The 13,673-nt window shown below is 34.3% G+C and overlaps 1 long non-coding RNA gene across 2 annotated transcripts in view; it reads left to right on the top strand.

Moving 5' to 3' along the window:
* The window catches only part of LOC105376010 (uncharacterized), a 29,402-nt gene extending 17,879 nt beyond the window's left edge, over positions 1–11,523 (top strand). For both annotated transcript variants that reach the window (NR_188504.1, NR_188505.1), the window contains one exon: positions 7,863–11,523. This is a non-coding gene — a long non-coding RNA (uncharacterized LOC105376010). The remainder of the gene's footprint in view (positions 1–7,862) is intronic.
* The last annotated feature ends 2,150 nt before the right edge of the window (positions 11,524–13,673 follow it).

The raw sequence follows: 13,673 nt of genomic DNA on the forward strand, positions 1-13,673 counted from the left end.
GTAACTCCCCCTTGCCCATTGCTCTAGTTCTTACCCCTAGGATGATGCTATGAGAGCCAGAGCAAGTATCCTATGTGAGTACCATTGGTATTGACACCCCACACATGGGTAAGTCAATAGGAAAAATTGTCTTTCTCTCCTTACAAAGGGGAAGGAGTTCTGCTCCCCTAAAAGGGACTCCTTATACTAGCTTTTCAGTATATCAATAAAATATCTTACTGTGATCCAGATAGCCTTATGTGTCTCCAGCTTCTATGACCTAGAGATGCCTCCAAATTCTAGGCTACATCCTTTCTGACAGAGCTTTACCAAGGGACCTTGTCTAGATTGTAACCATTTGGCCCTTTCTAGGAGTTAAGAGGAGTTTTACTATTCTTTCAGATCAGAGCAATTACCAAAGTCTGTACATCTGATACTCACATTATGTGAAGAGTCTCATAAGGCTAGGGTTTTGCATGAGCACTGAGAAAGCCAAGGTTTTATTTCCTCATACATGGTTAAATAAAGGATCGTTTCTTCAAAATAATAAGTATTTATAAATACAATTATTTATAATTTTAGTCAGTTTTCTGTAGTAACAATAAGAACCTAAATCATGTCCAAGTTTCTTCTAACCTAAAAGGGAAGTCTTCATTCTCTTTAAAGGTTCTAACCAGCACCTCTCTCCATAACTTAAAAAAAAAAAAAACTTTACTTTTTCTGGAGACAGCGTCTCTTGCTTTGTCACCCAGGCAGTAATGCAGTGGTGCAATCATGGCTCACTGCAGCCTTGACCTCCCAGGCCCAAGCATTCCTCCCACCTCAGTCTCCCAAGTAGCTGGTAGCTGGGACTACAGGTATGTGGCACCAACCAGGCTATTTTTTTTTTTTAATTTGTAAAACAGAGCTGCTGCCTGGCCAACATGGTGAAGCCCCGTCTCTACTAAAAATATAAAAATTAGCTGGGCGTGGTGGTGGGCGCCTGTAATCCCAGCTACTCGGGAGGCTAAGGCAGGAGAATCGCTTGAACCCGGGGGGCGGAAGTTGCGGTGAGCTGAGATCGGACCACTGCACTCCAGCCTGGGTGACAGAGTGAGACTCTGTTTCAAAAAAGAGAGAGAGACAGAGAAAGGAAAAAAAAAAAAAAAAAAAAAAAAAAAAACAAAGCTGCCTCGCTATGTTGCCCAAGCTGGTCCTGAACTGCTGCATTCAAGCAATCATCCCATCTTGGCCTCCCGAACGGCTGGGATCACAGGCACCAACCACTGCCAGGCCCCAGCCCTTCTCTATCCTTGAATAGCCTAGTTTTTCTTTAAAGAAGAGTCAGTACTTCATATCTCGGCTTTGTAATGTGCAATCATTATTTAAAATGTCTTAATCTGGCCCCTGCACCTGCTTCTAGACTTGAAAAAATCTCAGTAAAGTCTGTTGCAGTAATCCTCAAATTGCTTAAAATTATGGTCACTCTTTTTGTTCAGATTTTATTTAGATTGTGTTTCGGGAACTGAAATTTCAATACTTCAATATAATATTTTTCCCTCAGTGTATCTGTGGAATAAGGAAATTCCAGATTAAGGTGAAAAAGAATGTTAAAGTTCTGAAGTGGTAATGATCACAGTGCCATGGCAGTACTGCAAGCAGCCTTCCATGGTGGGAGCAAGTCAATACCTGGGCAAATTGTACAGGATGTGGTTACAGTGGGGAGGGACAAGTCAATCATTGAAGCACTGACTGCCTGTGAAAGAATTTGGAGCTTAATTACAATGAGTCATAATGCAATGGGTAGGCTTTGAGGGATTTGACATAGAAGTATTTATGGCTAGAGGTTGTTTAAAGAGGTATAGCAGAAATTATAAATGCCATAGGGTCATATTAGTTACCTGTGCCACATTCCCAGCTCCCCCCACAACAAGAAAACGCTTATATAGTAATTATGTTGTTTTAATGAACTTATAAATCAATGTTCATTACAGATTTTTTATCAATAGATAATTGATCATGGCTATGACTGAAAATAAATATCTTGCCTATTATGGGTTTTTACATCTTTAAAATGAAGATATTGGGCAAGATTGACACCTGAAAGTCACCGACCTAAGACCTGCTCAATTCATTAGTGTGATTTGTTCATGCTTAAATTAATATATGTAATGAGCTGTAAATGTACATTAATTTCAGTCTATTAAGTCGTTATTTATAATAAACATATCTTTTGGTAGGTAGTGGAAAGGGCAATGGGTTCAAATTTGAAGACCTAAATTCAGCTTACAGCTCTCTGCTATATTCTGTATTTATTTACTGGTATATATTTAACCTTTTGTTAGCCAGTTTCCTCATCAACAAATTTGAGCACACATACAGTATATATAAAATTACCATTTTAATTTTTTCTTGTTATAAATGCTCTATGCTATGCTATGGAGATATTTATAATTTTTTATCTTCATTTACAAAATATACTGTGAGACACAAAACCTTCATTTAAAAACTAGCTTTGTGGAAATGCTATCTATTTCATTATGGTCAATGTTTACTTACAATAATATGTAGCAATGCTCTATGATGAAAAGCCAGCATAAAAACCTTATTGCTAAACTATTCACACCTTATAATACTCTTGATAGATTTGCACACATGGAGAGTTTATTTATGCTTTCTAGATTATTTTTTAATATTTGCTATTAATTCCACATATTCTCGCTTTATTTGAAGAAAAATAGTCAAAAATTTTAGATTATTTAACAGGAATTATTCTTACTATGAATAATGTGTGCTCACTTGCAAGAGGTTTTAATTATAACTCATCTTTGGAAACAAAAAGTAAAAATCCCAGTAAAAATCCATGTAACATAGGCATGTATTTTTTATAACTTTTTCTCTTGATATTGTGATAGGATTGGGGTAGGTGATATTACTGAACTGTTCTATTTCACACATTTGTAAGGGAATTCTGAACACTCAATAAACACTTGCTGACTGAGGATTTGAAAATTCTTACCCTAGCTCACAGGAGCTAAACAATTGGTATATATCATCTTTATTCCTGAAACTATACAGTGTCATTTCCTTTGTGTTTGGTTTACAAATCTGTGTTGAAGACAAATATACTAGGACATACTCACATATATATTTAGCTATAAAATTTTTATATTTATATGCATATGGACTGTGAGTTGCATGTTTGTGTGTATGTAGTATTGAAGGTGAGATGAAGAGAGAAAGGTATTGCCATGATTTGTCACTATGATGCCATATTAGAATCTCCCTTTAAAAATAATTTTGCATATATAATTCTCACAAGTATTGAGTTTCTGAGGAAGTAAGATACTTACTTATATTCAGTACAAATTGTTCATTCATTCTGGATTATTAGTTTCTTATCAGAAAGTATGTGGGGTAAACTGCCTACAGTGAATCTGTATATCCCAACATGAGTTTTATTAATGCCAAAAGGAATAACAAGACAGCATCACTGACCTTAAGCCAACATAAATAGTGTTAACTGCATAGCTACTAAATGTAGACCTTTAACCAGTTCTGCAAAGCCATTATGAGATATTTTGCACTGTTTTCCCAGTATTATGTTTCTACACCCATATACACCATATAATACACACCATGCATAACACCGTATACATACACATATACATACATATATGCCTTCTAAGTGTATATGGAATTCTCTGTGTATGTATGAAAATTCACTTCAAATCTATTATAAAGTAAAGTATTATCAGAAAAATGTAAATATTCTACAGGAAATTAGAGGTGTTTTCCTGCATCTAAACTGACACTTTCCTTCCTTCTAACAACCAACAATTACCAAAAGAATTTTTTAATTGCTTTTGAAACTCAGGTTAATAAATCCTGTTCTCTTTTAGAATGTTTGGAAAGAAATTTCTTTTACTCTCATTTTTGAAAGCACAGTCCACATTCCACTTCTTAAATATTTTCTAGATAGTTTTACAGAAAGAATGTGAAAGGTTTTAGGCATTTGCTCTTTGTGTAAGGTTTCACTTTATTCCCTCTAATTTTTCCACCTTCTAGTTGTGTGACTTTTGCCAAAATATTTAGACACCCCGAGCCTGTTTCTTGTCTACACAGTAAAGATAATGGCAATACCTACCTCAAAATATTTTTGGGAAAATTAAATCAGGTCCTATTTCTTATGTGCTTAGCACTAAGTAAGGATTCAACAAGTGTTAGTGCTCATCAGTATCATCATCATCACCACATGTATTCCATAAATTGATTCAAATGTTCTACTGTGCTTAGATGCCACTGTAAGTTTTTAGGAAAGATGACAGCTCTGAAGACTTCCTCTGGTTTAACATTAATAGTAAATTTTTTTGTCATGAACTGTCTAAACCTTATTTTTCTTAAGATTTCAATCTACAAATCTTATTATATTATTTAAAATTTACCTATTTCTATACAAAAATAAGATTTTTCTTATTCTGTAGAAAAAATTTGGATCGTCTCAAACTAAAAAGACTAAATTTCCTTAAATATCTAACTCCATTCATAAAATTGGGTTGTTTCTTAAATATTTTAAACTTCAATTTTATATTTAAAATATTTGTTTTTATTTTTAAGCAGTTTGAAAGCTTGACAGAACATAACCCAAAGAAGCAAAATATTAACCCTTAATCAAATTATATAAATCTAATAAATTAAACTTATGGTAAATCAACTTATTTTGAAAATGTAAACAATGAATACATTTAGTCAGGTTTTCCTTATATTGTCTAACTTAAAATCATAAGTTTTTTTGAGACAGAGTCTCGCTCTGTCACCCAGGTTGGAGTGCAGTGGCACAATCTCGGCTTACTGCAACCTGTGCCTCCTGGGTTCAAGCAATTCTCCTGCCTCAGCCTCCCAAGAAGCTGGGATTATAGGCATGCACCACCATCCCCGGCTAATTTTTGAATTTTTAGTAGAGACGGGGTTTCACCATGTTGGCCAGGCTGGTCTCAAACTCCTGACCTCCAGTGATCCACCAACCTCGGCCTCCCAAAGTGCTGAGATTACAGGTGTGAACTACCATGCCTGGCCCATAAGTTTAATATCAATTACACATTTCAAATTAAACTTTCAAGACTAAAATGCTGAATTTTCTCAAAAATAAACATTTAATTAAAAATACACAGATTATGCTGAACTTATGTAAAATTAATATTTACTTTATCTTATCAGCTCTATACTCAAACCTTTATCTTCCCAGAATAAAATAACCACTTATATGATTAAGAAAACAAAATTACCATCTCAGAGGAACTAAGATTATTTTATTTTTTAATGTATTCTTTTCAGCTTTCTATGTCATTAAGGAAAGTCATAAAAAGGAACAAAAAGCCACTACAGTTATTTTAACTTTTAAGCAACTGTTCTCAGTTCCTCCCCAGTCCACAGGTCAATACACTGAGTCCTTTTTACAGTTGTCACATCTACAAGAGATCACAAGTGTCCAACTCTTTGTAATCTAAGATACAAATTTTTCTTCAATATTATTCTACAACTATACTTAGATTATGTTCAACTAATTACTCAATAATTGGACTCTGTACTCCTTCATTACTTTTCTTTGCTGCCTAACCACAATTTGTGACAGTTTAGTGCTTCTTTCTAAGTCAAGTTTTTGGCTACTTCTGCTCTTACTCTCATAATGTGGTTCTCTATAGTCATTGTAATGACTTTTGGTATTTCTAGTATTTCCAATTTTTCCTTCATTTGTACTTTATTAAACAAGGTCACCAAGCTATAGCCCAAGGGCCAGTTCTGGACACCTTATTAAATTATTAGCATCTATGGCTATTTTGCAACAGTGACATATTTGAGTAGTGTAACCAAAACCATATGGCCTACAAATCCGAAAATATTTACTCTCTGGTCCTTTACAGCAAACTTTGGTGACTTGTGTTTAATTTACATTAATATTAGGTATTCCTGGAATCTTAACTCAAAACATCTAGTTGTCCTAACATTTCAATACTTTTGGTTATCATAGCAGCTGGCTATGGAATTAGCCTCATCCTCCTGAAACTGATTCCCCTAAAACATTTTATCAAAAAGGGCAATTGTCTCCACTATGTACCTTTAGAAATGGTAGACCTGCTCTCCCTTTTCCTTTCAGACTTTAGCTGCCTGAACTAATTTATACCCAGAGCTTAATTAGCTCCCTAACTGTATCTCCTATAAGTTGTCTTAGCAACACTTCGAAATGGGCATTTAAAATTGCTTTTGAAAGAGGCCAGTTCAGAATGAAATAAAACATTTTAATGTGAAAATCTATAGGATTTTCAAACAGAGTCAAGATAATCCTGACCTCTGAGAGGTTACAATTTGAATATATTGAAGAGTATGGAAATAAACCTCAGATCTTTCATCATAAAGAAATGCTTATCTGTGAATATAGAATGAAGAATAATTTTTATACTATCAAGTTATTTAATCATAAGTAGTAAATATGAGGTTGATTCGAGATTTCTGTATATCTTTTTAATTTAAAAAGGCAATTTACAAATATTTATTAGTGAATTACTCTTTACCCCACATTAGGAACACTGAATCAAAATGAGCAAGATATTGCCCTTAATTCTAAAATATTTGTATGTTTATAGAGGAGATACATGTTTATGAATATAATTATCACATAGCAAGCTACCCTAAGTGCTGTGAGAAATGTATTTTGCACAATGGGAGCACATGAGATTCACTTAAACCAGAAGATGTGGATGGGTTTATTGAGAAAGTCACAATAAGCAGTACCTTGAAATATGGGCGTTTTCTGAGGTGGAAATGAAAGAGACAAGTTTTTCAGATCAAGGGAACTTGTGCACCAGATATCCAGGCTAGAGATTAATCTTTTTGGTGCTACTAATTTCCTGGTATAATATGGTTGCAAAATGTTATCATTAACAATATTCTTGTCAGTAATAAAACTATTCGGCCAATCTTGTATTCAAATTTTAGCATTATACTTAAATGCTAGATATTCATTATGCAAAACAAAATTGTGATTTGAAAAGCCCATTGAAGTTTAAAAAGAAAAAAACATAAACAGATAATTGGTCTTTCCACGGTATAGCTTTTCAAAAAAAGATGAACTTGCTGCTGCAGCATTTTAAATATAGCATCAACAGACAGCACAATTCTTTCTCTAATTTTCTCTATTAGATTTGTTCTTTCTTATGTTCTGAATAGCATTTCATTAGAACATACAAATATTAATATTTGAGGCCACATGCCAGGAGCATCACAAAAATATTCATTTATGTTTAAAACTAGAAAAGAGGCTACTCTTACATTTTCTTAAACCATATTTAATAAACAAAGTACTATTTTTTTTCTAGGAGGTGCTGCTCTCACATTGAATACATCTGTGGCACAATTACACACAGAGATTGCTTCTCACGCAGGAAGCAAGTTGAAGGAGCACAATACCATCTTGTGTCAGCTACACACACCATCTCCTAACTAACATGGAGAAGAATGGTAGACTAAATTAATATGGAGAAAAGAATGGAAAAGAAACCCTGTTCCCTTTCTTGAATAATCTGATAAATAAGTGTGTTATCTAGCATTGGATGCTCCCTGCCCCTCCCTTAACTTTTATTTATTTTTGTACCAAAATTGTCAAGAAAAAAATATCAGTTTCCTCAGTAATAGTCTTCCGTTTTGCTGTTGACCCCGCAAACAATCGCCCAACAGATTACTAAGCAATACTTTTTAATTGTGTGATCTGTTGAGTTGGGACCATGTCAACCGATAGTAATGACATTCAGAAAATTTTCTATAGTACAATTTAGTAACACTTCAGCCTTGTTTGGAACATTTTGGTAAGTCTATTTTCACTAATTCTTGCCTTTTGTCTTTCATTGCAGTGAAAATTTGACATATCCCCAGACTGGACTGAGTGAGCTGCTTTAGGAAGCTGTATGTTTTTGGAATTTAATTCAAATTTAAATGAGGTTTCCTGCATGTTTGGACATTATACCTCAGAGCCGTGGGTGCCAGAGCCCTGTCCTATGAATGTGTCTCTTCTGAAAATTGCTCTAGGGATTGGTTTTACTGATTGGACAAAAAATATTTTGAACCAATTATAACAAAATAGCTCATTTCTCTTTTATATACATCATGCAATGTCTTCACAATCAGATTATGAGATCTCTAATTACAGAAGAGGATTTTTATATTTCCTACTAGCAAACATTTGTCCACAAAAGTTATGAAAAACAGCTGTTATCTGGAATGTGGCTTGAAATATATCCTGTTACTCTAAAATGGTATTGATATGATTTATAGTTGTCCTATTGCAGCGATTTTATAAGAACTCAATCCACAGCTCTTCTAACATGTCTTGACAGCTTTATTGAGATACAATTTACACATTAAAAAACTGCATGCATTTAATATGTACAATTTGAATATTTTTGGCATATCTATGCCCATAGGAATTTATCATCTACAACCAAGAAAATCAACATCTCCATCAGTCCCCTAAATTTTCTTCTGTCCCTATGTAATCCCTCTTCCTACCTGCCATCACTAGGTGGTATGGGCTAAATTGTGCACTGCCCATCCCCTCCCCTCCCATTTTATATGTTGAAGTCCTAATCCCTAGCACCTCAAAACATGACTGTGTTTGGAAACAGGCCTTCAAAGAGGTGATTAAGCTACAACAAGGCTGTTAGGATGAACCCTAATCTGATCTGACTGGTGTTCCTATAAGAAAAGAAAATTAAGACACACAAAGAGATACCAGGGTATATTTACACATAGAGGAGACCGCGTGAGGTACAAAGAGAGAAGGCAGCCATCTGCAAGCTAACAAAAGAAATCTCAGAATGAAATCAACCCACCAACACCTGATTTCAGACTTCTAGCTTCTGAAACTGAGAGAAAATATCTGTTGTTTAAACCATCAGTCTGTGGTACTTTCTTAGAGCAGCCCTAGCAAACTATCATACCAGGCAACCACTGACTAGCCTTCTGTCACTATAGATTAGATTGTATTTTCTGGAATTTTATATAAATGTACTCTTTTGGTCTGGCTTGTTTCATTCAGTATAAGTTATTTGAGATCCATCCATGTTGGGTTGTATCAATAATTCATTCCTTTTTATTATTAATATTTTGTTGAATGGATATACCACAGTTTATTCATCCATTTATTTGTTACTGGACATTTAGGTTGTTTTCTGGTTGAACTGTTACAAATCAAGCTTCTATGGACATTTATTTACAAGTCTTTTATGAATATGTGCTTTCTTTGATCTTGGGTAAATATCCAAGGTTGGAATGGCTGGGTCATATGATAGGAGTATGCTAACCTCTTTAAGAAACTGCTAAACTATTTTCCAAAAATTGTACCATTTTACATTCCCACCAGCAGTCTTTGAGAGCTCCAGTTGCTCCGTATCTTTGCCTAAAACTAGTATGGTCCATCTTTTTTAATGTAATTGTTCTAATAGGTATATAACAGTATGCTATTGTGCTTTTTAAATTTGCATTGTATTATGACAGTGGTATTGATGATCATCTTTTCATTGCTTATTTACCGAAGTACATCTTTTTTGGTAAAGTGTTTACATTTTTGCATTCTTTTTTGAGTTGTTTTTTTATTACTGAGTTTTGCAGTTTTTAAGTATATTCTGAACCCAAGTTCTTAATCAAATAAATGACTTGAAAATATACTCAGTCTTTTTATTCTCTCACTAGAGTCTTTTACAGAATAGACATTTTTCATTTTAATTAAGTCTATTTATCAATTTATTATTTTATGGATCATTTGGTATTGCATTTGGAAAAATCTTTGCCTAACCGAAGGTCAAAATTCTTCTCTTACATTTTCTTCTAGAATTTTTAAAGTTTTAAGATTTGAATTTAGGTTTCTAATCCATTTTGAATTGGCGTTTTTGTACTACATTTTTTTTCCTTCACCTCTATATGTAGAATCAATTAAGGTAATAATAGTTTCTATCTGAAATGTCCTGCTAACACACTTACCTATTTCAATACTCATTCTACCTTCCCGTCTCCCTGCATTTTGTTTTTTTTTTTTACATCCTTTCACCCAGGCTTTAGCTCCCATCTCCTTCTAAGTCCTCACGCCCTTGCTGTGTCTATGATACTAATGTGATTCAGACCATTTCTCTCCCAGTTTCTTTCCTTCATATATATGCAATTTTAAGTCTTTCTTATTTAAAATAATAATAATAATAATAATAATGCTTTTTGAAGCTGCATAGCTTTCTAACTACATAACATTAACTTGCTTTGTTCTTTTCCTATAAAACTATTCTCTTGAAAGAATTATATATTCTCTCATTTCTCTCTCTTCCAACCAACACTGCCAGGTTTCTGGCCCAGTCATCGCACTGACACTATTCTTACCATCAACACTTGTGATTTCCCTTTGCCACTTATACAGATCCCATTTCAGCATTCATCACACAGGTCTCCCTGGGAGGCATTTACACTGTGGATCTCTGTAACTGGAAGGCATTTCCAAAGCTTGTCTGAGTCTTCCACATTGTCTCTCCTCTTTCTCTCTGTTACTTGAGACATGTTTTCTCCATATTTTCTCTTCTCATTCTATACATTCCACTGGTGACCACACATAAAATCAAGGAATCAAATGCCACCTTTGAAAAATGAATCTCCTAAGTAGATTTCTGGTCCAGACTTATTTACCCAGACCATCAACTTTCTGTTGTATATTTCCAATAGCAATGTCAAGTGCAATACGTGACAAACATAATGCCATTCTTCTTTCACCTAAACACAGGGGTCTTTCATACTTCCTGTGGGGGTAGACGGCACATCATTAACCCTGTCACCTAACCACTGTCCCCTCCATTCCCAATGAAAAATAACCCAGATATTTCAGTTACATCTCCTACATATGTCTCCAATCTATGCTTTCTCTTCATATCCACTGCTTCTCTCCTTAGTATATCTCATCTAAAATTCTGGAATAGACTTCAGATGGACCTGCAGATTCTAATTCTTACCCTCTCAACATTCGACTTGTATATTGATGCATGAGTAAAGTTTCTGAAACACAAATATGTTTAGGGGAATCCCATGTAGATCATATATTTAGGCAACTCTAATACAGAAAAAATTGAACCCATTCTCATGTAACATTCAGATTGTTGTCTTTCTCTCACATCTCATCACTAACAACTGCTCTACACAAAATCTGAGATCTAGCAATAGCTAGCTTCATATAGTTTCCTGAGCATGGAATATTGATACAACTTCCAGGCCTCAGATGAGTGGACAAAATTAAACTCACAAGGCAGTAATGGCATTCAATCCCTGAAAATTTCGCTGCTCTTTCTAAAAAGGTAAAATATATTCTGCCTATTATAAAGTAAATGCTGACCTTCCTATTTTGTTTCTTTTCCTTTACGCTAATGGAAAATAACTTTATGATTTAAAATATAATTTATTGTACTTATAATAATTTGTTTTGACTTGATGGTTAATGCTTGGGCATAACTTAAAATTAGAATAAAATGTATAAATGTAAAAGAATCATTTATGTACTATAAATCATTGATATGATATTCTCAAAGTACTTTGTGAAAAGCACATTAAGAAGTATGGATCCTAATGCATAGGTAAGAAAACACAGAGATAGGTTAAAGAGCTAAAATATCATAAATCCCAACCTGTCTTACTTCCCATTATTTTTATCTGCCTGATATTAAAGATCCTTCTTATCATAAAATTATCTGCAAGGAAATGAAACATTGAGTTCAGTACTGATGAGTCTTGAAAAAAAGAAACAGAATAAAAATTCACACACTATCTTTTCCATTTCACTTAGTGTCCTGAAGCCAAACAGGAGTATTCCCTAGAATTACTTGTAAAAACATTAGAACAGGGTGCAAACCTGGATTCTACTGCTTGCTAGTTGTGTGACTTTAGGCAGATCATTCACCTCTGACTATAAACTCACTTAAGAAGGGCCACAGTAAGAGCTAGTCCTCTTTAGTAAAAGAATTTAATGAAATATATGTGTGAATCAGAATAGGCTGGGCTATGGATTAAAGCTGTAAGTTTTATTTCCCTCTCATGCTCCAGATCTGTCTTGGCTGGGCAGCTGAGGTTTCAGCTTCATATTACCTTCTCTTCATGACACAGCCTCACATACCATCCACATCTACAATGCTGCCACTCTGCCAAGAAGGAAATGAGAACATGGTGTGTTGTATGTTGACTTTTAAAGCTTCCACATAGAAGTAACACATGTCACTTCTGCTCATATTTCATTGATCATATTTCAGGAGGAAGGAGAATTATATTCCTACCATGTGCTCCAGGATATATCCAGAAACATTTATCTGTATCAATGTTTATATTAATATTTCATTTTGGCACACTCAACGGTAGTGAATGGATAATAATAGCTCACTGTACTGAGGGCTTACTCTGTTCAGGGCACTTTGGTAAGGGCTTTGCTTCCATGATTTGATTTAATTTAATTCTCATATTGGCCCATAAGGCAAGTGACTTGATCTGCCAGACATTATTTGTCCTTCTAATATTCATTTCTCTGTTTGTTTGCTTTTTTTTATGACTAACAGAACTGAGATTTCATTTGAGATGACCGTGTTTAAACCTCACATTGTTCTTAAAGCTGTAGAGAAGGAGGTGAAAAACTTCTGGCCAAACTATGGTATGTGGAATTCCACAAAGAGAGCACCCCTTCTTAAAAGAAAAGATAAATGAGGCAGAAGGCAGAAATAATATTAAGAGATAACAAAGCCATTTAGAGACAATAAGGTAAAAACCATGGAGGTGGGAAGGTAGTCGTGGTAACACTGACCATGACATCAGCATATGGCTGATCAGATACCAGCAGTCTGTTGCCTCTCACCTTCCTGTCCTGAGAGCTAAATAAGCTTGCTCTTTTTGAGCTGAATTTTAAAGGGTGTTCTCTTATTTTAATGTACATCTTTCTTACCAGATATAATTTATATATGCATGAGTTAATAACAAACCAAAATAAGTCATACACATGTTAGATATACTGACCAACATAACAAGATCAATTAATGCCAGAGCTTTAGAACTTGGATTTATAATGGCCTGACTCTAAAATTTTGGTGATTAACAAAGGACTATAAAATTTCCTGAATATTCAATCAATTCTAAACAGTTCAGAGTCAAATCCTAGACACTTGATAATTCAAAACGTGATAATTGTCATTAATATAATTTTGGTATCACAAAGGAACTCAGCAATTCTTGATGTTTATAAACAGAGTTTGTAAAAAAACAATGCTTCAGTTCAGTGGTATCAAAGTTTTATAATTAATGTAAGTTGGCAGTGTGATTTTAATGCTTCGATATATTTTTCAATGAAAGACTAATGATATGAGTGAATATAGGGTAACCAATACCTTCATTACACCTCAGTTCTTTCACATATGAATCGGAGTGGTTGATTAGGTAATACTCATTACTTTCTAGTCTGTGTAATCTATGATTTTACTGTGGTGATGAAAGCAGGTGCGTTTTAGAAATCTATCCATTCTTTTCATAGTAGCCATATAGAGCAACTGGTACCTACTTGTTTTAATATCTATCTTCTCTAGGGCTGAAAATCTCATGAGGGTATGGCCATGCCTGTCTTGATTACTCTATGCTTCTCGAATTTAACAGAGGATCTGCTCAAA

The sequence above is a fragment of the Homo sapiens genome, chromosome 9 (genome assembly GCF_000001405.40).
Source record: "Homo sapiens chromosome 9, GRCh38.p14 Primary Assembly".
NCBI lineage: Eukaryota > Metazoa > Chordata > Mammalia > Primates > Hominidae > Homo > Homo sapiens.